At 56.5% G+C, this 27,411-nt stretch overlaps 1 protein-coding gene and 1 long non-coding RNA gene across 55 annotated transcripts in view, besides 1 other annotated feature; one reads left to right on the top strand and one right to left on the bottom strand.

The window, feature by feature from the left end:
- Positions 1-80: 80 nt before the first annotated feature.
- On the top strand, positions 81-10,207 carry JAKMIP3-AS1 (JAKMIP3 antisense RNA 1). Of its 9 annotated transcripts, none has more exons than NR_184041.1 (5): positions 81-1,010; positions 1,780-1,868; positions 2,511-2,636; positions 5,289-5,372; positions 7,793-10,207. It is a non-coding gene; the product is annotated as a JAKMIP3 antisense RNA 1 (long non-coding RNA). The 9 variants fall into 9 exon arrangements; NR_184043.1 differs by having other exon boundaries at positions 81-1,590; NR_184042.1 differs by lacking the exon at positions 5,289-5,372.
- JAKMIP3 (Janus kinase and microtubule interacting protein 3) overlaps positions 1,975-27,411 on the bottom strand; it is a 148,495-nt gene continuing 123,058 nt past the window's right edge. For 22 of the 46 annotated variants that reach the window (NM_001392043.1, NM_001392055.1, NM_001392044.1 and 19 more), the window contains 5 exons: positions 23,421-23,624; positions 22,098-22,163; positions 19,778-19,850; positions 17,800-18,880; positions 1,975-4,476 (listed from right to left, as the gene is read on the bottom strand). In NM_001392043.1, the coding sequence (NP_001378972.1) occupies positions 19,800-19,850; positions 22,098-22,163; positions 23,421-23,624 (321 nt within the window). In that variant the 3' untranslated portion in view covers positions 1,975-4,476; positions 17,800-18,880; positions 19,778-19,799. Of the gene's footprint in view, positions 4,477-15,577; positions 17,117-17,799; positions 18,881-19,777; positions 19,851-22,097; positions 22,164-23,420; positions 23,625-27,411 lie in introns of those variants that run through there. The other 24 variants (XM_011539676.3, XM_047425106.1, XM_047425107.1 and 21 more) reach the window with 13 other exon arrangements.
- Positions 22,631-23,330: an enhancer, noted in NCBI's record as "H3K27ac-H3K4me1 hESC enhancer chr10:133977007-133977706 (GRCh37/hg19 assembly coordinates)". NCBI's record gives its function as "activates a minimal SCP1, AML or CMV promoter by ChIP-STARR-seq in naive H9 embryonic stem cells {active_cell/tissue: H9 hESC(naive)}" and the evidence as "EXISTENCE:reporter gene assay evidence [ECO:0000049][PMID:30033119]".

Here is a 27,411-nt window from a genome sequence, read left to right as displayed (position 1 = left end):
CCGCCTCACCCCGCCCATCAGCCCCGCCCCCGCCCTCAGCCACTCCTTCGCTTTAAAGCCCCCCCAGCGCTGGAACCGCTGCAGGGTCTGATCTCTGCACCCCGGGCCCCCGCGCAGACCCGCGGACGAGCGCTGGGTGGGGATTTCAACCTGCTCCAGCTGATGTGCGCGGGGTTTGCACCCCGGGGAGGCGAGGGAGAGAGTCCGGCCACGTCCTGCCAGGCCCCGCCCGCGCCCCCGCTGCCCTCCAGCGCGGAACCCAGGTCCCAGGAGACGCGAGGCGCCCAAGGCCCCGGGATTCCGAGCCAGTCAACCCCGGGCCGCGACGCTCTGGGAACCACACCCGTCCAGGAAGGCACCTTGGCCAAAGCCGGCTCCTTCGCAGATGACCCGGGCCAGGGTCCGAGCGCCAGGCTGTGACCCCGCGAGGCTGTTCCACGCTGGCCGCGAGAGACGGAGGGCAGGAGGGGCCCGAATAGGACAGAGAGAGAGAGAGAGAGAGACAGAAGGAGGCGCACGCGCTCCCCAGGGACCGGGACGCGGTGGTGGGCGGGACCTCGCGGGGGTGGGGGGTGGTCGCAGGACCCAGAAGGCTCAGGACCTTTACGGATAGGGAGGACCCCGCAGGGGGGAGCGGGGGAGCCCCACGCCCGGCGTCCTCCGGGTGCGAGGGTCTCGGGGAGTCCGAGCCCGGGCCCACGGCCTCTGTCCCGCGGCCACTACCTGCTGGGGGTCCCGGGCCTGGGCCACGCCGGGCTGCCCTCGGGGACTTGCTGCGGCCGTTGAGGGGTCTCCGCGCGCCGCGCAGACTCGCCTCCCAACCCGAGGGCCCGGGCGGCCGCCGCCCAGAGCGTCCAGCGGCAGCGTCTTGCTCTCGAAGGCGTCCTCCACGCAGCGGAACACGCAGCCAAGCTTGGGCCGGGCCAGAGGCCTCGCGGGCTCCTGAGGCTGCCGCGCGGTCACGGCAGGAGCGGGCGACAGAATCCGGTCTCGGAGCCTCCTGTAGCGAGGTCTGCGCGGCAGGTGCACTGGGCGGACCTGGAGGCCGCGCCCTCCCCCCCCGCCTCCTGCCGCCCGGCAGCGCTGCGCGGAGCTGGCTCTGTCCACGTAGCGGGTGCTGAACGCCCCATTCTGGCCCCTGGGTGCTCGCTTAGTCCCGGCCACGCGTGGCTGCTCGCCCTCGGGACACACTGGGCGCTGGGAAGGCCGGGCGGGGAGCGCGCACCGGAGAAACCGCTGTGGGAATCCCGGCCACATTTCCAGGCCCCTTGGGCCGTCCCACGCCAGACAAGAAAGCCCTGACTCCGAAACCCTGGGCGAGTGTGGAGGGCGCGCGGGGGTGGGGTGTACCCGCCCACGCAAACTGCTGCTGATCTCCCTTAAAGCCGAGTTAGAGGCTTGGGGCGAGACAGGAGTGACGGGCGATGCTGTCACTCCATCTGTCATTCTACCCAGCCTGCAGCAGCTGAATTCGAACCCAGAGACTTCAGGCCTTTGCGTTGTTACCGCAGTCCGCATTTCAAAGCCAGAGTTTGGCCACTGAGTCACCATGACCTCGAGTACTGGCGGGGCCCGAGCCAGCAGAGCTAGGTCCAGCAGCTTCCCACCCCTTCGTCCTCCTCTGGGCTCCCCCTCCCCTAAATGATTAATGCAATGTCTGTTACTCACCTGTGTGGGACCGTCCACGGCAAATATCACCAACTGTTCTTATGCACGTGCAGAAGTTCCGTCCCTTTCCTAACTGTCTGATCTCTTCCATGGTTCACATTTGACCAACAGCCACAGGAGGGAGCCTCCCAGGTGGTCGACCGGAGCCAGGTGCTGCCAGGCACCCGACTGCAGAGCTTGCCCTCCAGGTGATCTCGCAGGTGAGAACTGGGGCTTTCCTCCACAGTGGGCGGAAGGCGCGGACTCCGTTTCTGGTGTGCAGAGGCACTGTTCAGAGAATGAACTCAGAAGTGCAGAAATGGCTCATACGGCTTTCAGTTCAAACTTTAATACCTTTGAGGGGACTTTAATCGTCTAAGATTTAAAACATTTTTTATTAAAACTGTACAATAATTTACAAACGAGTAAAAAATTCTCTGGTATATATCATAGGAATCACAATACAAAAATATTTGTAAAATCTTGTAGATCACCATACAAACCTATTTTAGGCCTGTGAATACTGCTTAGCATGGAACGGAATGTCACGTGGTTAGAGGGTGACTATGAAGGGAGTGCCTGGGAGAATACACACACTACCTGGCATGCCGCCGTAAGAAAACAGGCCCGGTTAGTTTTTGCATAAATTTACAATAAAGCTTTTTAAAAAATATACAGTAAACAAATATATGATTTGATACCTATATTCACAATATGAGTTTCCTGAGGCTAAACTGAATTCCATTACTGTGATAAAACACACACTCTCTCTCAGGGTTTCAAGGATGGGATGACGGTGAGTTGGCGAATGCGTCAGTGCCTCCAAACCCACACTTGGGCACTCTCTTCTTTTTGACTTCTAGTATCGGTGTTCACAAGCCCTGTAAGGCACTCGGGGTATCCTGAAGGCTACAGATTCTGCAAGGGCAGAGACTTTAAGGAACAGCCATAGTCCTTCTCCAGCTCAAAATCTGGACCATGGGCACAAGGTAAACAACACACTGGTGTCAACAAAGGAATCTGCTATTTATGTGGATTTTTACTTTAGACAAACTAAAGTATCTATGTTGTTCTGTGTGTTGAACACAGAGTGTGATGATGTTAATATAATGTAAATGTTGATGTAACAGTACATTTCTGGCAACATTTCAGGGTCCTTCCTCTTGCCTTATTAGGGGGTGATGCATTCATACAGACTTCCCCTGTTAGAAGAGCTAGCAGTAAGACAGCCCAAGTACTTGGAGGAAATTCACTCTAGCCCATTGGTTTGGAAAAGAAGGTATAGCCTGCAATTTAGAAATGCACCTTATTTTTAAATACTTGAATTCTGCTGCTGCTCACTGGACCAGGAGGAGTCAGTGATAAATGCTCATATTTACCTTTTTGGGGGCAAAAACCCAGTTCTGAAATGCTGGGTATTGTAATCAGATGTAAAGAAGGTGCCTATGATAGACGAGTGAAAACAATGATATCTAAGGAGAGGAACTGACGCTCCAACTAGATGTGTGCTTTCAGGAATGGGGCAGAGACGCGATGCAGTTTGGATGTTATTCAGCACATTCCTTGCACCTTCTCCCGTTCCTATATACATACTTTTTACATATAAACAATTACAACTTCATAAGGATTTGGTACATATTTACATGCTTCTCTTTGCCGTATAGTTTGCCTTATTATTATTACAGAACTGTGATTAAGAGTGTCTGTGGTGGATAGAGGTGTATGAAGTGCTCCAGACATATATACAACATGCTAAACCATGATGACCCAAATAAACATGAGGGATGTGAATCTGGGAATGTGAGTTTCACTGCACATCTTTAGATCCGAAACAGCTGGCCCATGCAGCTGTTGTTCCCATGCAGGTACACATTGGGACCATGCCAGGAGCTCTCCCAGAGGAGGAGGCCAGGCTGGCAGGGAGCCAGGTAGAGTTACAACATATTTCTGGATGCCTGCATCGTAGAGTCCATCGGACTTCAACCCAGCGGTTCACCCACAGCGCCACGGTAGCTTTTATTAACACAAGGCTATTGTGTGCCATTCAGTTGTGAGTATAATAAATGTGCCAAGAAGATGCAGTCGTTAAAATGAGACAAAACTATGCACAGAGGACTAAACAGGATTTCAGACTCGAGACGCAAACCCCGAGGTCAGGCTCAGCTAGAGACACTGAACTGGCCCAGTATCTTGCCGAGTAAATCAGGAACTGTGGCTTGAATGACAACAGAAATGGATGGGTCTTTCTTGGACAAGTGCTGATTAATAGTGCATTTTCCAGCAAAAATCCTGCAGCCACCAAAGAAAAAGCATATCTGTCTGATACTATTAGCTTTTCCCTGATTTCAACCTAGGGAGCCATGCCTGGTCCGCAGCCACCGTGTCATCTGCCCCAAAGTCAGACATTTCTTCTGACACAAATATAAAATGAGCCTAATACTTCCAGACAACCCAGTCCTCCCTACGGCAGCTGAGTCGTGTCTTTTATACAATGCTGCCAGTAACAGTCACACCTGGCTGCACAGCTGGCTGCCTCAACTTCTAGGTGCCTCGAAATGGCTAAATCCCACGAATGGCTCTTCTGGTTGCGTGAAAACATGCATAAACGCATGCTTGTGCACACAAGTGAGCACACACACACACCTCCTGTCAATTCAGCTCTGAGAGCAGAACCTTAGCCCACCTAGGGTGGGAGGACACAGAAGTTCCATCTGCAGCCAGTCAGGCTCCATCCACAGGCTGGACGAAGCTCCCGGGCTGCGTCCCGGGTCTCCCAGCAGGAATGGAAATCACACCTAACGTTGCCTTCACCAATGCACTGCTTCCTCTCTGAAAAAGAGTGGAGAAAACGCCGTTTAGTGCGACGACCTGGGGAATGTGTGTGACCCACCACAGGTCAGCACTCAAGGCAGTTGGGGCCTTGACCAGGCACTGGCTCTGCACAGGATGGTCACTGAGCCAATGGCAGGCACTGCCCTCATGGGTCCAGCACCAGCTACAGCGCCACGTCCTGAGCCTCCAGCCCGGGAGACGCACCTGGCACCCACCGAAGGCCACACTCTCAGGAAGATGAGTCCATGCTCCTCACAAAGCCCCTACAGAAGTGACCTTGGATCTTTCTCACCATGTCTGGGCCAGCAGCCCGGTTTCTACCCAACTTCCCTCATTGCTTAGAAAGTGGGCCTCTGCTAAGTTCAAAGTTTTTATTACCTTTCCATTTTTTCATGTTTTTGAAGAAGTTATGAAGGATCTGCTTTTCACAAGGGCGGGCCCCGGATCAGTCCCTGGGGCATGGCAGCATCGGGTGGGAGGCCACGTGGGCTGAGGGGCGGGAGCGAGGGCACGCTGGGACAGAGGCAGAGGGGCGGGAGTGAGGGCACGCTGGGACAGAGGCAGAGGGCCCGGCCGTAGAGACACCACGGTTTTCTAATCTAGGAGAGGTCTGAAGAGCTTTTTGGTTTTTGATTTAACCTAACTTCTAAGTAAGAAGATATTACCTCAAACAGAATGAAAAATAAATGTAGTCAAATGACACATACATGTTTACTTCTTCCCGTATTAAGCGTTACAGTTGAAATCTCTGCTGCAGTTAACATAGTACCTTGTTCTTTGTGCCTTTAATCGGGTTCGTTTCTAAATAGGTTGTCCCGGAACCATCGATCTCTAGAAGGTACAGGAGGAAGGGGACCTGCCAGTCCAGCCCTCATATTTTACAGAGGGAAAAGGTGAAGCCCCATGTAAAACAGGGATTTCCCTCGGTGACACTTCCAGGCTGAGAAGGGCCGGGGATCTGGACACCTACCCAGAAACACTCCCACCCTGTCAATGCCTCTCTGAATTATGTGATCAACTGCCTGGAGTATGAACTAGGCACATGCAAATAGAGAACAGAGGTCTTGTTGAAAATATGATGCTGAATTTTAAAAACTCACTCCCCAAATTAAAGGAACAAGACCAGAGCATTTGGTTTCCTGTGGTCACTTGATCCCTCTCCAGAGCCAGCTGCTGCTCTCCATTGTCAGCACACTCCACTCACTGCCCTATTTCCAGAACAGGAGACTTTCTGCCCCATCCATGGCCGCAACATACCACTCACACACACACACTACATGTGCACGTACACACAATGCACAATACACATACCTGCACATGTGCAAACAGCACATACACACTGCACATGCATGTACACACAATACACTACACACACATGCCCACACAATACGCACAAATGCACTGTACATGTGTACACACAATGCAAAATACACATACAGGCACATGCAATGCACAACACATACACATACATGCACATGCCCAAAGACACCACTCACACACAGCACACACATGCACACGATATATACACACATGCATACACAACACACCACTCACAGCACATGCATACGCGCACACACACACACGCACACACACGCACACACGCGCGCGCACGCACGCACACACGCACACACACGCACACACACGCGCACACACACACGCACGCACACACACGCGCGCGCACACACACGCACACACGCACACGCACACGCACACACGCACGCACACACGCACACACACGCACACACACACGCGCACGCACACACACACGCGCACGCACACACACACGCACACACACGCATGCACGCACGCACACACACACACACACACACAGTTCTGCTTCCAGGTTTGCAGTCTTCCCAAATCCCTCCCGCCCTACCCCATCTGTTCCGTCTCTTCTAGGGAACGTGATCTTCTCCCTCCCACCCACCCTCCCCTTTCTGGGCACTGTCCCTCACAGTCAGCTGAGGACCTCATCCAAACTGGAGCCATGTCAGGCACAGGACAGGTGGGAGGCAGCCATCCATGGGTCTGGCCTTGGTCTCTGTGGCTCCATGGGGCTCCTCAATGCCCCCAAGCAAGCTCTGGCACCCCAGGGTCCTCACTCAAGAGTGTCTCTGTGGACAGGCCTGAGGCTGCTAGCTGCAGAAGTGCCTGCTTGCAACGGTGGCCATTGGCTGGCGTCTGGGAACTTGGCTTCGAAGCATTCCTTTAGTGAGGAGGTTCCTGCCTAGACTGTGCAAACAATGTGATTCATGGCAAACACCAGCCTTCCTTTTGAGGGCCTGGCATGTTAGTGGGTGGGGGGCGCACAACTGAGTAGCCCCCAAATCAAAACCATGAATTTTGGGTCTTAGCTGGAATTTCCCGAGCAGAAACACTGCATATATGGGGCTGTGTTTTGCTGCTGGAGGGAGTGTGTGCCCCGTGTGCACCTCACAGGGGGAAGAGCATGGGAGGGGAGAGAGCACAGGAAGTCTGCTCACAGGCCTCTCCAGGCTGTGCCTGTGAACTCTTCCCTTGCAGATCCAGCCATGCCTCCCGATTATAGGGCTGCGATAATGGTGTGGCTGTGCCATGGTGTGGCTGTTGTGGTGTGACCCTGCCGTGGCGTGACCCTGCTGTGGTGCGACCCTGCCGTGGTGTGGCCCTGCTGTGGTGTGACTGTGTGCTGAGTCCTGTGAATCCTAGCGAGTCCCCAGAGATGCAGGTGGTCTCGGGGACCCCCAGAACATCTGCTTTCACTGTTGCCTGGAAGTGTGGGGGGTGGGGGGAACATGGGGCTGCGAATTGCCTTCAGGGAGCGCATTCTTTTACGTACTTGGCCATTCACGTGGCAAATGTTTATGTGAGTGTATCAGTGCCACAGTAAGGGTTCCGCGGGAGAAACCCAGATAATCCTCATCCCAAGAGCTCCCAGTTCTCAGGGAGGGGGCAGGAAAGTGCTGCTCAGGTGGCTGAGCTTCGAGTGACAGGAGAGAGGTAGGATGTGGGGAGCTCAGGCATAGTGCAGGTGGAGCCCCAACCAGCTCAGAGCCCGGGGAGCCCAAAAGTCCCGTCAACAAATACAGCCCCGTGACCGTGCATGATGCTGGGGGAGGATGAGCACTGAGGGCCCCTGCCCTTCACGCTGGAGGGGAAAGCCTGGGTAATTTTATCTTGGGCTGCAACGAGGATAGCTGATGAAGTGTAGGAACAAGTTGACAACCACAATCATGAACTTGGCTCATTGGACAGTGCCAAGGGCGGCAGCAGGGACAGGAGATGGCAGCATGCCTGGGGCACCACCCAGGGCTGACACAGGGTGTTTCCACAGGTCGGGGCCCCCAGCCCCACGGGCACGAAGGCACCAGAACCTCGCTAAAAGCTGCAGGGCAGAACCCTCATCAATACCACCATGGGTACCACGTGCAGACGTAGTCGTACATATGGATCAGGAAACAGCATTCTGATTGATGTCAAAACAGAGCCGGAGGAACAGGCCCCTGCCGTCTGTGTGTGCTGGAAATTTCCACTGGGATCTCAACTGTTTGGAAACATAACTCAGTTGGCAAGGAAGACAAGAACCTTCCTGGGGTCCGGAACTCTGCCTGCTTCAGAATCAACAGATGATGAATGCCACTGGAAGGCTCGGGACCTACAGCCTCAGTTTCCAAAAATGTGCATGAGACAAGCAACCCCAGGGTTCTCACACAGGGTGAGCCGCTTGGGAGGGGGTGAGACCCTGCAGTCTGGATCCTTGCTCTTCCCCAACACCGCCCCACAAATACACAGATTCCCAGCTGATAGGACATGGAGTGAGGGCCAAGCACAGGACCTTTCCCCATATGCTCTTTTGTCTGAGAAACTTTAGCCAAACATTTTCAAACCAAACAGAAACAAATGGCAGCCACTAACTCTGCTCACAGTCAAGGTATTTTTTTCTTGAAGCTCTGATTTGGGGAAAATATGAAACAGACCTTACCCAGACACAGGCTGTGCCTCCTCCTCCCTCTTCCTCCTCTACCCCCTTCATGGGGTCTCTCTCAACTCTACAGAGGGGACCAGTGCTGTTATCAACTCCCTGTCTGCCCAGGGCCGCCTCTGAGGTCATCCTCTCCCCAGCCACCACGGCGGAGCCCCATGTGGCTCACACGGATGCTGGAATGGTCCTCCCATCCTGGGACAGTCCTCAGGCACGTGGTGCTCTGCTCTGGGTCACCCTCCTACTGATTTTGGCTCTACAGCTCCCTAATAAATAATAAAGGCAGAAGCCACTTTGATGGTGCAGGTGGCAGGTGGGACAGTGAAGTGGGTGCACAGAAGCGGGTGCACAGGAGCAGGTTCACACACAACCAAATGCACAGTGTGCACAGACACACACACTACCCAGGGCACAAGAGCAGGTGCACACATACACGCACACTACCCAGGGCACAGGAGCAGGTGCACACACACAACCAAATGCACAGTGTGCACACACACGCACTACCCAGGGCACAAGAGCAGGTGCACACACACGCACACTACCCAGGGCACAGGAGCAGGTGCGCACGCACAACCAAATGCACAGTGTGCACACACACGCACACTACCCAGGACACAGGAGCAGGTGCACACACACCACCAAATGCAGTGTGCACACACACACACTACCCAGGGCACAAGAGCAGATGCACACACACCACGGCCAAATGCACAGTGTGGACACACACACGCACACTACCCAGGACACAGGAGCAAGTGTATACACACCATGGCCAAATGCACAGTGTGCACAGACATGCACCCTACCCAGGGCACAGGAGCAGGTGCGCACACACGACCAAATGCACAGTGTGCACACACACACACACTACCCAGGGCACAGGAGCAGGTGTATACACACCACGACCAAATGCACAGTGTGCACACACACATGCACACTACCCAGGGCACAGGAGCAAGTGTATACACACCATGACCAAATGCACAGGCACACTCCCCCCACACACTGGCATGTGTGCACACACGTGCGCACACTTTCTGCCTGTTCTCCATGGGTTCCTGGTTTCATTTTGTATCTGGTGGCGGCAGCTGTTCTCACAGGCCTCCACAGCGATGCCCAGCTACCCTTTCTGAAATCGGCTTCTCTAATAATGACATCCCCTATTAACGGCCCCATGGCCAGGCTAGTAAAAGGATCCATTATTGCTTTAACCAAGATGGTTGCATTATAGATTGCAAGACAGCTGGCCCGCAGGCTGTAAGCTGCTGGCTGAAAAGAATAAATTAGACAATAGAGCAATAAAGCGGGGAGGGGGACTCATGGTTTCAAGTCAGTCGTTCAGTTTCTGAGATTTTGTGCAAATCACCCAGTAACATTTGAGAAACACCTTCGCCCTTGGTAAAAACAGAAAGATTCTAAACAAAGAGCAAAGAGAAATAGCTCCAAAGCCAATAGGAACCAGAAAAGAGGTTGGCATCATCTCCCAAAGTCGAAGATTCCAACTCCTAATGTGACCCATGAGGAGTCGCGGCACCAGCGCATCCGGAGACTCCACAGGAATGTTCAAGAAGCAGCACTCGTAACAAGCAGAAGCCTGGAAATAACCAAATGTCCACCAGAGGGGAGGTAAAGCCCCAGCACGAGGTCACAGATTGGAGGGTGCACATGGCTGAATCCCTGCAGAGTGATTCCAAGCACAAACACCCAAAAAAATGCCCGTTAACAAAGATTTCAAACACAATTAAAGAGTCTGCCTTTTGGAAATGTGTCTGCTGCCGTGATCGTATAGCGGTTAGTAGTCTGCGTTGTGGAAACGTGTCTGCTACAAAGCACTGCACAAAGCCCTCATGGGGAGGGGATGGGATGGGCCACGAAGTCAGAGGTCAGTGTTTGTTTTGGGTGGCAGCCACAGATGTAACAATGAAGGGACGAAATGAGCAAGCAGCTGCTGCAGACCAGCAGCAAGAGCGAGGCACACACCAGCACCAGGACCAAGGCCATGCTGTGCACCAAGAAACACGAGGACGATGCTGTGCTGAGGATGAGGGGACCAGGCAGGAGCTGCCAGCAGGGACCCTCCCGCTGGTTCTGCCATGCAAATGCAACGTGACCCCATGGCTGCCTGTGAGCTGGAGGCTGCACGGGAGCTGCTTCTGCCATCAGACAAACACACGGCTGAGCCCAGGGCAGAGTCCCTCCCCGTTCCCTCTTGCGGCTGGAGCCCTGGCTGATGAAGCTGCCTTAACGGGCAGGTGCTGGGGGGCAGATCCTGCAGGGAACATGGTGAGGCACCTTGAAGACTCCGCCCCCTGATCGGGATCTGGCAGCCTCTGCTTCCAAGAGAGACAGGCAGTGCCTGGGCAGTACTCAGGGAGGGGCGCTTCCCCCAGCTCAGCAACTGCCCTGGGAGGGGACAGCCCCAAAGGACTAATTGTTCACACTTGGGTGAGCTGTTTCTAAACACCTCATCTTTTATTTCTCTTTCTTTAACAATATAGACAAATTCAGTAAGAAAACAATTTCACTGGTCTATGATGCAGAGCATTACACATTTCTTTTAAGTGAAGCTTCCTGCTCCATCATGCATGATGGCCATGAACTGTGGATACATCCTGAACAGGGGCAGCCTTTTAAAATCCCTGGATTTTAAGATGACCAAACAGACATCATCTCCAGCAGCAGCATGGAGGCGGCAGTCTGTGACCCAGCTCAGAAGAGCAGGGCTGCTCATTGGCATTCAGGCGCCTGCTCCACAGAAGCTGTAAATCTGAACCTGCTGACAGTTAATCAACACACCTCGAGCTTCCAGACCCTGAGTGGCCACAGGCCCAGGCCCTAGAGATCCAGCCCACCCTGGGGTCAAATGGGGACCAGACACGCTGGCTCTGCCGGCTCAAGGGACCCCACCAGCATCCCTGCTTTCCCATCTTGTGGTGGCAGAGTAAGGTGGACACCCCAGCCAGGACGGCACTGACCACAGAGCCAAGCAGAAGGGACTTTAATAACAAAAAGGAGGAGTTATTGACCATGGGGTGGAAGGAGACAAGGATGTTCTTGGGTGGACATTCACATGCAAAAAATAAACTTCAATCCATACTGAGCCCCATATGCAAAAGTTAACTCAAAGTGAATCACAGGTGTTTTAAATTTAAGACATAAAACCACAGATTCTAGAAGGAAATGGGAGAAAATATTTGTGACTTTGAGTTAGGCAAGGTTTTCTTAGTTCTAACATCAAAAACCACGCTTCATTTTTTTAAAGTAGATAAATTAGACTTCATCAAAATTAAGAATTTCTGCTCTTTAAATGACACTCAAGGGAATGAAAAGATGAAAGACAGACTGGAAGAAATACTTTTCAGCGGTGTATCTGATAATGGCACGTATCCAGAATAGAGGAAGAGCCTCTCAAAACTCAGGAATAACAAAGCAAACAACCCAATACAAAAATGGGCAAATGATCTGAACAGATGTTTCACCAAAGAAGGTATAAGGATGGAAAATCAACACACAAAAAGATGCTCAACATCATTAGTCAGTAGCAAGATGCAAATGAAACCCCAAATAAGATGCCACTCCCCCTCTATTGGAAGGGACCAAATAAGGAGAACCAGCCTAACCTGTGAAGACGTTGCGTGTGGGGCAACGGAAATCCTCCCAGCGCCGGTGGAAATGCAAAATGGAACAGTCACTCTGGACAACAGTTACTTATAAAAAGTAAGCATGCACTCACCATGTAATCCAGCAGACCCAATCCTAGGTATTTACCCAAGAGAAAGAAGACTTGCTTTCGTGAAAAAACCTGTCACACATTATAGCAGTTTTGTTCACATTTGCCCCAAACCGGAAACCACCCTGACGTCCTTCAACAAGCCCCTGGTGCACTGTGGTCCTTTCACCCGAGGGGATTCCGCTCGGGAACAGAAGGAAAACCCACGGAGCCCACAGAGCCCACGGAGCCCACTGAGCCCACGGAGGCCACGGAGGCCATTGAGCCCACCAAGCCCACAGAGCCACACAGCACAAGGAACCTTATGTGGGTTTTGCTGAACGTAAACACAGCCAGATCCCCAAAGCTGCACTATGTGACTCTATTTACCTGATGTGGAAGAGGCAAAACTGACACAATGAGAAACAGGTCAGGGCTGCCAGGAAGGGGCCACTGCACAGGCAGCAGGAGGCAGCTTGGGGATGGGACGGTCTGTGTTGGGGCTGGGTTGGTGGATGCATGCACTGTGCATGGGTCACAACCGAGAAAGCCATTGCAGACACACCACACACACCACAAACACACCACCACAAGCACACCAGAAACCACCAGACACACCAGAGACCACCACAGGCACACCACACACCACCACTAACACATCACAGACACACCACACACTACCACAGACACACCACAGACCACCAGAGACACACCACAGACCACCACAGACACACCACACACACACCACCATGAACATACCACAGGCCACCACACACCACCACTAACACATCACAGACACACCACAGACCACCAGAGACACACCACAGACCACCACAGACACACCACACACACACCACCATGAACATACCACAGGCCACCACACACCACCACTAACACATCACAGACACACCACAGACCACCAGAGACACACCACAGACCACCACAGACACACCACACACACACCACCATGAACATACCACAGGCCACCACACACCACCACAAGCATACCATAGTCAATTGTACTACATGTAAATTTTTTCAAAGAGTCAATATGTGAAGAAACATGAATGAAATATCAGCTGTACAAAGGCACCTGGCTGTATTACAAATGAGCAGCCCTAGGGAGGGTGGGTAAGAAGAGACCCCACCTGAGTTGTTTGGAAAACAGTGTTGTGTGTGGACACCGTGAGGCTGGGGGGAAAGGAATTGTGCTCCAGCTGGGGCATCTGTTTCCTACAGGGTCTGGGTTAGCAATCCTGAGGCAACATGGGTGTATGCCAGGGCCGCACAGATGAGCAGGTACATTGCAGACAGCAAGCGCCAAGTATCTGCTACCGCCAGTGTCACAAACAAGGAGGGGAAGATGGCTGCGAAGAACCACACACCATTGGCCTGGAATTGGAGGCATCACTAAGAACTTGTGGTTTTGTAACAGCAATAGATAGGTAGGTAGATGATGAGAGAGAGAGGGAAGGAGGGGGGGAGAGAGAGAGAGAGAGGGAAGGAGGGGGAGAGAGAGAGAGAGAGAGAGAGGGAAGGAGGGGGAGAGAGAGAGGGAAGGAGGGGGAGGGGGAGAGAGAGAGGGAAGGAGGGGAGAGGGAAGGAGAGGGAGAGAGAGAGGGAAGGAGAGAGAGAGGGAGAGAGAGAGGGAAGGAGAGAGAGAGGGAGAGAGAGAGAGAGGGAAGGAGAGAGAGAGAGAGGGAAGGAGAGAGAGGGAAGGAGAGAGAGAAGGAAGTAGAGAGGGAAGGCGGGAAGCACAGGTGTGTGGGTGTGCACAGGTTGGTTTGCACATGTATTTCCAGGCTGTCTCTGAGACAGCCTAGAAATACTGTCACCCCAGTAGCAACAAGCACACCCAGGTCCAGAGACCTTGGTTTCTGCACACTGCTCTCCAACACAGAAGCCAGAGCTCCCTGGGGAAGGGGTTATGGACCCCGCCTTGTGGGGACAGAGAGGAAGAGAGTGCTTTGCAGGGCGCCGGCCTGGAGGAGCGCTGGAGGCTCCGTGGCAGCGTCTGGGTGAAGAGACATTAACAGCCTGGCTGGGCCACGACCCAGGGACAGACTGAACGGCTGGAAGCATACAGTGCGATACATAAGCAAAGAAATAGGAGAAAAGGGGCAGGTCTTCTCTATAGGAAAATTCTAACCAATGAAATAGAAGGAAGGGGGAGAGCACGTCCCCACAGGAAGACATGCTGCAGGGAAGATCCACCAACGGGTGCGGAGATCGGGGCAACGTTCACAGAGAAACGTGGTGTTTTCAGTCTCGGCGAATCTCCCCCAGTACACGCATAGATTACAAAGGACTCCTTCTCAGTGGAGACCCTGGCAGACACCCCCTTAGGCAAGTGATCAAGGTTACGGCCTCAGTGATGAAACACACCCATCTCGGGCACCCTGGTGTGGTACTTAGGGTCCATCACTCCTGGGGCATGCCCCCCAGATGCATTATCTCCACGGAACCACAGGCCAGGCAGATCCTCCTGAGGAACCTTCTACAAAATAACCCGCCAGTTCTTATCCAAGCGTCGAGGCCAAGAGTGACGAGGAAGAACTAAAAAAGTGTCACTGATGGCAGGCACTACAGAGACAGGATGAGTGAATGCAACGTGGGGTCCTGGAACAGAAAGGAGCATTTGCCAGGAGGAAACCTGGAGAAACCAGAACCCAGGGTGTGGCTGAGTTAAGTTTTGAAAATCTATCATGATTATGCAAGACAGGGACAGGCCGGGCGCAGGGGCTCATGCCTGTAATCCCAGCACTTTGGGAGGCCGAGGCAGGCAGATCACGAGGTCAGGAGTTTGAGACCATCCTGGCCAACATGGTGAAACCCCCGTCTCTACTAAAAATACAAAAATTAGCTGAGTGTGGTGGTGCCTGCCTGTAATCCCCGCTACTCGGGAGGCTGAGGCAGGAGAATTGCTTGAACCCAGGAGGAGGAGGAGGTTGCAGTGAGCCGAGATCGCGCCACTGAACTCCAGCCTGGTGACAGAGAAAGACCCTGTCTCAAAAAAAAAAAAAAAAAAGAAAGAAAAAAATAAGACAGGGACATCAGGGGAAGCAGGCTGAAGGGTACACAGGACTCTCTACACAATTTGTGCAACTTTAAGTCTAAAATTATTTCAAAATAAACAGTTGGGGAAAAAAGCTAATTGGAGAGAAGGGAGATGCTCACTGGGACAGCACAGTAACGTCTCGCGTCTCATTTACTGGGCAAAAATACACTCGGACGGACATTGTCGCAATTCCTCTACCACAGAGCAGGGCGCACAGTGCACCTGCCGGGCTGTGGGTGAGGGGCCCTCTGCTTCCCATGGGTGTGGGGTTGGTGGTCCAGGGCTGGGAGTGGGGACTAGGGCACAAAAGCCCCTTGCTGGCTGCAAGTTTAGGTAGTAGCTCTTTCCTGACACCCTTCAAACTCACGCTGGAGACTGCACACTCGGAGCAGACGCGGTGGGAGAGGATCCCGAGAGGATGACAGCCGCCTCGCTTCAGAGGAGCCCTGTGAGCTGGCGGCCTCGGCCCAAAGTCCCCGCTCCGTAACCTCCCCCAAGGGAGCCTGCAAAGGCATCGCTCTCCTCTCCTCACTTGACTGAACATGCTCAAGAAGGCATTGCTTCTGGTGCTCCAGCGGGGACAGGTTTCTGCTCACAGGTTTCCCCACCCCTGGGTTAGCTGCAGGGTTGGGTGACAGCCCTCCACGAGCATCTGGGGCTGACAGCTCTGCCTGGTGCAACGTGACGCTTGGGGCCAATTGACTCACACGTTTTCCTTTCTGATCTAGCATTCGAGGCTCACTCCCTGATCCCGGGAGGCTGACGGGACTGGCTGAGAAGTCTTCTGTGCGGAGCTGTACAGACGCCTTGTCCACAATGAGCCTGTGGCTTGTCAGCCCCCGAGCGGAGCGGCGCCCACCCACCTCTGTCCCCGCCATGCCGACAGGCCTGAGACACAGTCTGCACGTTGGCGGCCGGCTGCCCCTCCCTGATGACGGTGTGGCCTGTCTACCCTGACCGCCCCCATGGACACACGCTGGGAGCAGGAGAAGCTCCGAGTCACCTCCAGGTCCAGTACCCAGGAAATGGCTCCATCCAGGGATGCCGTCCATGGATGTCCAAGTCCCAGATGTCACCGAGGGCAGCTGTGGGGGGCCTTGCTCCCCAGGCCCCCATCTCCTGACCCGGCGTCCCCTCTGTGACCTGTTGTGGGAACCTGCTCGGGGCTTAGCATGGCCTGGATGGTCCACCTGCCCCTGCTGTGAGGCCTGGCCCGCAGGGGGTGGGAGTGAGGCAGCCGGGAAGCCTCCGCGGGGAGGTTCGTATGGCGGGGAGGTGCGTATGTCCACGCCGTGTGTGTTGTTGTGCTGTGGGGCGTTCCCTGTCCCCAGCCGCCCTCGGGGGACCCTGGAGGCTGTGGAGCTCCCGACCTCTGGCTGCGCTGTCCTTGCCGCACAGTTAGAGATGTTATGCTTGGAGCTCCAGCTCTTGCTGTGGGACCAGAAGTCTCTGGGGACTCGGCAGCCATGTCCTGAGGGATGGTGGGCCTGCGGCGCCCTCGTGTGCCAAGCAGCGGGCGTCCTTGGACAGGGCTGGGACTGCTGGTCTCCCGCTCCTTCTAGAATGAACCTCTGCAGCGAACCTTCTGGCCTGAGGCTGTGCCTGGGCGCCCTTGGTGGATGCAGGAGCCAGATGCTGCTGGGTACCCAGGTCCCGACCCCGCGAGGACGCCGCCTCGTCCACCACGCACCTGAAGAACGCGCCCCAGGGGACCTGCAAGACGGAGCCGCCGCCCCCTTCGCACCTCCTCCTCGCTGCGGACCCCTCCTGAGTCAAGGGTGAAGATGGAGCTGCCGCCCTCTCCTGAGTCCAGGGTGGTGGTCGCACCTCCTCCTCCCCCTCCCATTTTCTACGCAGGGAGCATCTCCCGGGAACAACAGTGCCCGTGGCCCACAGCCGCTGCCCACTGCAGGAGACACAGGTGGCTCTCAGACACGGTGTGGGTCGGAGGTGGGGGAGATGGAGCGCTCCCTGGGCGGCCCCCCATGGGGCTGCCACTGCCTCCCCAAGAACCGGCTCACCCTGCCCCAGGGCCCCGCTGAGTCCCACAGACACAACGGATCCACAAACCCTCCCATAGGGAACCCCGCTGGCGAGGAAAGCTCCACGGTGGAGCATGCCCAGAGTCCTGACCTCCCTCCCTCCCTGCTGGGAGCACCCAGAGTCGCCTCCCCAGAGCGGACACCTCAGGTGCCGGGGCCGAGTGTGGGGCGGCGTCCACGTTCAAGTGCACGGGAGCAGCGGAGGGAGGCGCACTCGGAGAGCGGCCTCATTGCACCTACGGGGTTTCTCCCTTTTCCCGCAAGCCTCCTCCTGCAAGTGGGAGGAGGACCAGCTCTGCCAGACGCCAGGTCCCCGTGGAGCACCATGTCTGCAGACCCTGCCCCAGCGACAGCTCACGCCACGCTCCACACCAGCCCCCAGGCCCTGTCCCGTCAGTGGCGGGAGAGGTGATCTTGACGGGTCAGCAGTGGACGGGGTGGCAGCGTCACGCATGTGCAGACGGGGACACAGAGGTGTGAAGAAGCTGGAGCTCACCTCGCAGGGAGGGTGCAAAGGCCCTCCCCGCGGACAGATGGCAGCCCTTACCTGTCAGCCTCTTGGTCCACGGCTCGTGCAGCGTCCCCACACAGGGCGGGAGGGGAAAGGCCGTCCCCGCGGTTCCCTTCTTGCGCCCGCCATCCCCACCTGGGCTGCTCCTTGTGTGCAAAGGCTTGGGGTGAGGCTTCGGTGCCCGCCGGGGTCCATGGCCTGCAGGGCTGGCCCGTGCAGGGGCTTCCAGGCTGGGTGGCTCTGGGTGCCCAGGGCCTCTGTGACTTCTGGAGATTCACTATGGAGGCAGCCTCTGGCATCCGTGTTCCAGCCAGCTCCGCCCCCTCGTCCCACCTCCTGTCACCACGCTCCCCACGCCTTCCTTGGCTCAGTCCCGCGGTGCTCCCAGCTGGCGGCTTGGGCGGGATCTTGGCCTTCCTGTCTCAGGTTGAGTAGGGAGGCAGAGGGTTGATGGCACCACGCGGCCCGCGGCGGCCACGGCTCTTGTCTGTCCCCACAGAGATGATGATGAACGAGGGTGGATGTGGGGTCTGTTGGCCAGCGGGTGCTCAGGACCCCAGCAACATATTGCAGCATCGGAGGGGCCCCTGAGGCGTCGGGGAGCCCTCCCAGGACCATCCCAGGGAGCCTCCAGGTTCCCCTGAATGAAGGTCACCGTCCAGCTTTCATCTTGTCATCAGGCCAAGCCTCTGTTGTTTCTGAAAATCTTCCTCCAGACACCAGTGGCAGCTACTGTGAGAACCAAGAGAGAGGAGGGGACCCGCGGCTGGTGCTTCTGCACAGAAGCAGTTCTCACCCCTGCTTGGCAGGGAATGCTACACATCCCTGGAAATGGGATGGGGGCTGCCGTCCGGGAGAAGGGACCCAGGGTCCAGCAGCCAAGGCCAGGCCCGTCCCGGAGAAGCCCCCGAGAAGTCGGCAGAGCCAGTTCTAGTTCTGGCACATCCCACGTGGACGGCAGCTCCACGCCCCACACACTGCCCCTTCTCACTCTTCCTCCACGGGACGGGCGTGCAGAGACCAAATCTCCCTGGGTCTTCAGGATGGAGACGCGACGTCCCATTTTGTCCCTGCTTTCTGGTCCCACTGGAGGAAAAGGGTCCGATTCAATGTGGGGCTGGAAGAAATGAAACGTAGAGTGCAGAGTCAGCGAGGCTCCGCTTGGCTGGAGTGAGGGGCGAGGGCCGAGGGGCGAGGGGCGAGGGCCGAGGGGTGAGGGGCGAGGGGCGAGGGCCGAGGGGTGAGGGCCGAGGGGTGAGGGGTGAGGACCGAAGGGCTGCGTGGAGAGGATGTCAGGGAGACTCCACTTGGCTGGAGTGAGGGGTAAGGGGTGAGGGATGAGGGGCTTCATGGAGAGGGAGAGCCCTGCTCCCAGGGGAAGCTCCTCTCGGGACCTGCTGAAGGGTGCAGACTCGAGGACCGAGGCGAACAATGATGTGACGTCCTACTTGCCCCTCCTCCAGTTTGGAAGGAGGCAGCCATCTATGCTGGCGGGTGCCATGGTAGCAGCAGCCATGACCTGTAGACTCCAGCTATCCTGGCCTAAGCTGCCCGGCCTGGCAGGGAGACCAAGCCCTCCTGGCTGAATCTCCAGCACCGCCCGAGCTTGTGCTCAGCACCACCCAGAAAAGAACAAGGACGAATCACAGAACCACCGTGTCTGCCCCCAGGGCCTGCTGCCGAGTGCCACCAAAGCAGAAAGACCCCCTAGAGAGGGTCCTGCATGTTTCTGCTACACTGGGGTGGTGGTGGGAACCCTGCTCTCCTTCCCGTTCAGGAAAGGTGAGCACCTTGCGGCCTCTACAGTGGAAGACTCCGGGTCCTGACCCCCAGGGAGGGACTTCCAGTGTTGAAGGACGCGGGTGGCTTTCTAACAACCCTTTTGGGGATGCTGGGTCATCGCCTTCCAGTTGATCGAATGGCAGGTGGGCAACTCCCTGGCAGGGCAGGGGCAGAGGAGTCTTCCGGGAAGCAGAGCGGGACCCCTGCTGGGCCCTGCCAACGAAATACTCACCACGTCAGGGTGCCAAGACGGACTATGACCAGAGAATGAAAGCTAAGGAGAAAAATAAGAACAAAAATAGAAACTGAAACGGAAAGGGGAGGATGGAGAAACGGAAGGAAAGAAAGAGAAAAAAGAGTTTGTAGTGCTTCTGGCAAGAAATACACGCGATTACAGACTGAAGACAGAGCTGTTGGCAGGGAGGAGAGGACGCTATTAAGGACTGTGCCGAGGGAGGGATGCTGCCCAAATCCCCGGGTCTGAGGGGTGGTGCCGCCACCCCTAGGAACGCACTGGGGACTCTGCACCGGGCAGATGCGGGTGGTGGGCGCTGGTCAGGGGCCCCACACCCAGCGTGTCCCCAGCACCACAAGGCCAGCCTCCCGGGGACTGGGTCTCCTCCTCCCTGAAGTGAAACCCATCGCTGAGACCTGCTGCAGGAATTTTTGGCAAGAGCACCAATGGGGTAATAATAATGGTGAACGTTGTATTGAAAGACATTCCAAGTGCCCAGCAAACAAAAGCAGGCCTGTGAGAATATTGTGGTCTCAGTCCCACCGTAAGCAGCAAAGTACAACCAGCACCCTGAGCAGACAAAGCGCACACAGTCTCACTCTGGGCTGGGGGTCGGGAGCCAGGCCCATCTGGACACGAGAGAAAATCGGGCAGTGGGGCATCGCTTGGGAATGAAGAGCTATTTAGCTAGATTTAAGAAATAACACCTGATCTATTTTTTTCTTTGGAGACAGGATCTCAGTCGGTCACCCAGTCTGGAGTGCAGTGACGTAATCATGGCTCACTGCAGCCTCAACCTCCCAGGCTCAGGTGATCCTCCCACCTCGGCCCCCTGAGTAACGGAGATTATAGGCACGTGCCACCATGTCCAGCTATGTTTTAAAATTTTTTTCTAGAGACAGGGTCTCACTATGTTGCCCAGGCTGGTCTTGAAATCCTGGGCTCAAGCGATCCTCCCATCTAGGCCTCCTAAAGTACTGGAATTACAGGCATGAGCCACCACGCCTAGCCCTCACATTTTTCTAGTATTTAATACAAACAAATATCCTTAGGTTAAGATGCAAAATGAAACAGACATTTGGTTTGGGGAGAGGCTTTGCCCTCTGAGGCTCCAGCCCCCAGAACACTGTGTCCCCTCCCGGCAAGGCCGGGTGCCCCTGCGTGCTAGTGGGTGCTTCCCCACGTGGCCTGGAGTCCACCGGGGCCTCAAAGGCTGTGCCTTGAGTAACTCGTTCCTCAGGATGATGATTCTCACAGGCGGCAGTGAGTGCCCAGTGGAAGGGCATGGGTGTCACCGCCTACGAGGGGCGGGGCAGGGCTAGGGTGGATGTGGGATGACACACGGCCCGTCTAAGGCGACTGCTGTCCAGAGGGACCCGGTCTCTCCTGGCAATTGCAGAGCATCTGTGGGCTCCTCCTCAGGCCGGGACCAGCACATGCCAACCACAGGGGCATCCCAATGCCAGCCTCCTGTTCTCTCCGGAAGGATGAGGCAGAAGGTGGGGCCACTGACCATTTCATTCAGCCCTCGGAGGGAGCCCGTCCCTTCAGTGAGCTCCACCGCATAGCAGATTTAGCAAAAAGTCTCACTCTGAGCTGGGGGTCGGGAGCCGGGCCCCCAGGACCAATCACAATGGAGTGAACACTGTCACCCCCAGACATGACTGAACCAGCCCCACGTGGGAGAACAAGCGCTGCCCTGAACGCCTGCAGGCAACCCCGGGAGAGACTCTGCTGTGCTCCCCTCATCCTGACTTGGGGAGCACCAAGTCTGTTATGTGCATGGACAGAGCAGCCCTGACCCCACACCTCACGGAGCTGGGACCCCGAGAAAGAGCCAGACAGCCCTCCCCAGCCCTGGTGTGTGGCCTCTGCCTAACTGCACGTCAACGGGTGCTTCTGATCCGGGAACTGGATTCTTAGACCAGTGCAAGGTGAACCTGCACGGATCAAAGGCTTCCACACAGCCCAGGCTTCAGTGATGGGAGGAACCCGAGGCCGTTGGCTCCAGATGGGGAAACTGAGGCCACAAGAGGAGTGGCTCCTCTGCGGTCGCATGGCTGGGCCCTGGCAGGGGCATTCCTAGACCCTGGGGCTCCTGTCTCCGGGTCCAGAGCCCTTGCAGCTACCACCCAGCTCAGCTCCGCCCAGCTCAGCTCCGCCCAGCCTTCAGGCCTCCAGGCGGCCGCTTCCCGCTGCTGTTGGGAGCGAAGTCTGCTGCCCCAACGGCCTGGAGCTGAGTGACTCAGGTCGGGGTGACACCGGGTTCCTCTCCCTTGATCTTAACAAGCAACCCCCAAAACTGCATTTGTTTTACCTTTTCCTCCAGTTCCTTTATTTGTCTCTTCTGAGCTTCTATTCTTTCTTCTAACTCTTTAATTCTCTGCAAGATTAAAAGGAAGAACATCTTCAATAGTCACAGTACTCGGGAAACCCAAATCCTTCAAGATTTTCATTCATTTCCTTGGTAACAGATCGTCGCAGAGCAGCTGGCATGGCCATGGCCCGTGGCTCCTGACGAGGACACAAGCCTTTGCTGCACTGCTCTGGCAGGAGAGTGGAGGGTCTTCGCCATGCCACACTCCCCGTGGTGGGAACAATATCCTTCCAATTCCTGCAACTTCAACTCAGAAAGCACAACGCCTGACAGCCAGGGAAATGGTAGGAATGGATTCCCGGTCCCCCAGATGCCACCGCAGCGGAGTAAGGGGCCGCCAGAGGGTCGCAGGAGAGCTGGGCACAGAGAGAGCCTCCCGGTGAGGGGGATGCTGGCGCCTGGGGTCCCCCAAGCATCCGAGCTCCAACCACAGCCCCTCTGAGGCAGCAAAGGGGTTGCAGGTCACTGTCCTCACCCTGAGCCCCTGGAGACCAAAGAGGCCCAGGAGGCTAATGAGGAGCCAGCAGAGCATGGCCAACATTAACCCACCGATGCCCACAGCCAGCTGGCACACAGCACACTTGTTTATGTGAATTTCAACTAAGCCTTCGCTAGTGGTGTTCTTAACAAGGAATACATCCATAAAGCCGCCTCCCAGCCAACCTGGCTCACGGAGAAGCTGGGCCGTGTCCTACACATCCAGGCCATCTAGTCAGCAGGGCTTCTCACCTCCCATTAGAGCAGAACTGACCCAACAGGCCTGAGGTCCCACAGTGCCCTGAGGCAAAGGCAGGCCTTGGGCTGCTGTCCCCAGAGAACATCCTTGCCATCAGGAAACAGTGTCACGGAAAAGACAGTACCCAGGGGTCCAAAAGAGGGGAACTGCCACCCAGAGGCCTCCGCAACACGCCCAGGACACTAGGCTGGTAGGGGAGGCAGTCTGGCCTGAGTGCCTGCCATTGACAGGCATGGCCACCAGGGGTGTGGCCATCAGAGGGTGTGGCCAGCAGGGGGCGTGGCCATTCTGGGGCATGATCATCAGAAGGTGTGGCCATCCAAGGCTCTGTGTGGAAGGCGTGACGGTTTGGGGGCATGGCCATCAGGGTGTAGCCATCAGAGTGTGTGTTATGAGGGGTGTGGCCACTGGAGGGTGGGGCCACAGAGGGGTAGTGGTTGGAGGTGTGGCCGTGGGAGGACCCCCCCTGGCTCTGTGCAGGTCCTGGCCAGGTCTTCACGCCAGCCCTGCCCCCGCCTGCCACACACCTGCTGAGCCAGCTGCAGCAGCTCCATGCGCTCCCGCAGGATCTGGGCGTCCCGCTCGCGCAGCTCACTCATGACCTGGCGCTTCCACTGCTCCACGGCCACCTTGAGCTTCTCGCGCTCCTCCTCTGACAGCAGCTCAGCCACCTTAGCCCCGGCCTCCTGCTGCAGGGCATCATACAGCATGGCTTCCAGCTCCAGGATGTGCTGGGGCGGAAGGGGAGACGCCTTAGTCCTTGCCTTCTCCCCAGAACAAACCTTTCAGGAAGGGCAACGGAGGCCGGGCCACCCTCCGCCTGGGAGCAGGGCCAAGAGGATATGCAACAGGGAGGGACCCAGTGCTGTGGCCTCTGCAGAAGGACCAGGGGCCCCACGGACCTCCCCAGTCTGTGAGAAGACCCTAGAAGCAGAGACGCTGACCAGGCCAGCAAGAGCCAGGACCCTGACCCCAGAGTGGGGGAGGACTGAGCTATGAAGTGGGGAAGCTGAGTGGGAGGTGGAGGGGCTGCAGGTGGCCTGTGGGGATACAGCAAGGTGGGAGGGAGCTGAGTGTGGGGTCACACGCTGCCTCCCCAAATCCAATTCACAGACCCATGGAACCCGATCCTGGTGCTATAACCAGCAGCCAAAATACATAATAACCCAGCAGCCAAAATACACACCTTTTCATGAATTCCTGGGGTTTGGCAGTTTGCTCTGTATATTTCAAAGCTTTTCTTAGGCAAATTTTATTGATACAATCTTTGTAAAAAACAAATTCTCACACTACAGAGGCTCTTTCTTCCCAACCAAATGTAACATCTTCAGAGATAGCAGAAATATTAGGAAATGGAAACAAATGCTTTTGGGCCTCAGTTACACTTTATTGTTCTTGGCGGCCACAAAATAAACTGTCCCCAGCTGTCACAACCAGCTCGCACATCAACCTCCACTTCTTACAGTCACAACCAGCTCACATGTCAACCTCCACTTCTTAGAGCAAAAGAGCTTGGTGCCTTTAAGATGAGCTCCAGCTTCTAAAAATAAACCTGGTCAAGTGCTGGCTTGGAATTAACCTCATGGTGGCTTCACGTGCACCTGGTGGTGGGAGGTGCTCATCAGGACCTCCGTGGTGACACGAACTGTGGGCTGCCTGGATGAGCCTCCCTGCCTTCGGCAGCCACACAGACCACGGTCTCCCACACCCATGTCCAGAGAGGCAAAGTCGGCACTAGCCCCTGCCATAAAGAGCCACCACTGCCCCAGGAGGAACCAGTCATTCCCCTCCTTGCCCCAGTGTCTCCCAGAAGCAGAGCAGGAAGTGCAGAAAAAAACCTCGGTGCTCACAGGCCTGTGGGTCACCTGAGGGCACCCGAGCGACCGAGAGCCACACCATGAACGACATAGGAGAGAACCGGGCGAGTGTGCAGGGAAAGGGAAGGAAATCAACAGTGAACTCAGAAAACTCGGAGCATCCCAAACAAGGGGGCCTTCCTGTTGGAAGTGGAGAGAGAGGCCCACACATCAAACAGGAAGTGGCCCCCCCAATATCACACAGGAAGAGGCCCCCCCAGCATCACCCAAGAAAAGACCCCCTAGCTTCACCCAAGAAGAGGCCCCCCCCAGCATCACACAGGGAGAGACACCCCCCAGCATCACACAGGGAGAGACACCCCCCAGCATCACACAGGGAGAGATACCCCCCAGCATCACACAGGGAGAGATACCCCCCAGCATCACACAGGGAGAGATACCCCCCAGCATCACACAGGGAGAGATACCCCCCAGCATCACACAGGGAGAGACACCCCCCAGCATCACACAGGGAGAGACACCCCCCAGCATCACACAGGGAGAGATACCCCCCAGCATCACACAGGGAGAGACCCCCCCCAGCATCACACAGGGAGAGGCCCCCCAGCATCACACAGGAAGAGACCCCCCCAGCATCACACAGGAAGAGGCCACCGCCTGCATCACACAGGAAGAGGCTCCCCAGCATCACACAGGGAGAGGCCCCCCCCAGTAAGACACAGGAATAGACCCCCCCCAGCATCACACAGGAAGAGGCCCCCCCAGCATCACACAGGGAGACCGCCCCCCCAACATCACACAGGGAGAGACCACCCCAGCATCACACAGGGAGAGACCACCCCAGCATCACACAGGGAGAGGCCCCCCCAGCATCACACAGGGAGAGGCCCCCCCAGCATCACACAGGGAGAGGTCCCCCAGCATCACACAGGAAGAGACCCCCCAGCATCACACAGGAAGAGGCTCCCCAGCATCACACAGGGAGAGGCCCCCTCAATAAGACACAGGAATAGACCCCCCCCAGCATCACACAGGAAGAGGCCCCCCCAGCATCACACAGAAAGACACGCCCCCAGCATCACACAGGAAGAGGCCCCCCCAGCATCACACAGTGAGAGGCCCCCCCCAGCATCACACAGGGAGAGGCCCACCCAGCATCACACAGGGAGAGGCCCACCCAGCATCACACAGGAAGAGACCCCCTAGCATCACACAGGAAGAGGCCACCGCCTGCATCACACAGGGAGAGGCCCCCCCCAGTAAGACATAGAAGTAGACCCCCACCAGCATCACACAGGAAGAGGCCCCCCCCAGCATCACACAGGGAGACCCCCCCCCCAGCATCACACAGGAAGAGACCCCCCAGCATCACACAGGAAGAGACCCCCCCAGCATCACACAGGGAGAGGCCCCCCCAGCATCACACAGGGAGAGGCCCCCCCCAGTAAGACATAGAAGTAGACCCCCACCAGCATCACACAGGAAGAGGCCCCCCCCAGCATCACACAGGGAGACCCCCCCCCCAGCATCACACAGGAAGAGACCCCCCAGCATCACACAGGAAGAGACCCCCCCAGCATCACACAGGGAGAGGCCCCCCCAGCATCACACAGGGAGAGGCCCCCCCAGCATCACACAGGGAGAGGTCCCCCAGCATCACACAGGAAGAGACCCCCCCAGCATCACACAGGAAGAGGCTCCCCAGCATCACACAGGGAGAGGCCCCCTCAATAAGACACAGGAATAGACCCCCCCCAGCATCACACAGGAAGAGGCTCCCCAGCATCACACAGGGAGAGGCCCCCTCAATAAGACACAGGAATAGACCCCCCCCAGCATCACACAGGAAGAGGCCCCCCCAGCATCACACAGTGAGAGGCCCCCCCCAGCATCACACAGGGAGAGGCCCACCCAGCATCACACAGGGAGAGGCCCACCCAGCATCACACAGGAAGAGACCCCCTAGCATCACACAGGAAGAGACCCCCCCCAGCATCACACAGGAAGAGGCCACCGCCTGCATCACACAGGAAGAGACCCCCCCAGCATCACACAGGAAGAGGCCACCGCCTGCATCACACAGGAAGAGGCTCCCCAGCATCACACAGGGAGAGGCCCCCCCCAGTAAGACATAGAAGTAGACCCCCACCAGCATCACACAGGAAGAGGCCCCCCCAGCATCACACAGGGAGACCCCCCCCCAGCATCACACAGGAAGAGACCCCCCAGCATCACACAGGAAGAGACCCCCCCAGCATCACACAGGGAGAGGCCCCCCAGCATCACACAGGGAGAGGCCCCCCAGCATCACACAGCGAGAGGCCCCCCAGCATCACACAGGAAGAGACCCCCCAGTATCACACAGGAAGAGGCCCCCCCAGTATCACACAGGAAGACATGCCCCCAGCATCACACAGGGAGAGGCCCCCTGAGCATCACATAGGGAGAGGACCCCCCAGCATCACACAGGGAGAGGCCCCCCAGCATCACAAAGGAAGAGGACCCCCAGCATCACATAGGAAGACATGCCCCCAGCATCACACAGGGAGACACGCCCCCCCAGCATCACACAGGGAGAGACCCTCCCAGCATCACACAGGAAGACACACCCCCAGCATCACACAGGGAGAGCCTCCTCCAGCATTACACAGGAAGAGAGCCCCCCCACCCAGCATCACGCAGAAAAAACACACCCCCGGCA

The sequence above is a fragment of the Homo sapiens genome, chromosome 10 (assembly GCF_000001405.40).
Source record: "Homo sapiens chromosome 10, GRCh38.p14 Primary Assembly".
NCBI classification, from domain to species: Eukaryota; Metazoa; Chordata; class Mammalia; order Primates; family Hominidae; genus Homo; species Homo sapiens.
This window is presented reverse-complemented; position numbering and strand designations above follow the sequence as displayed.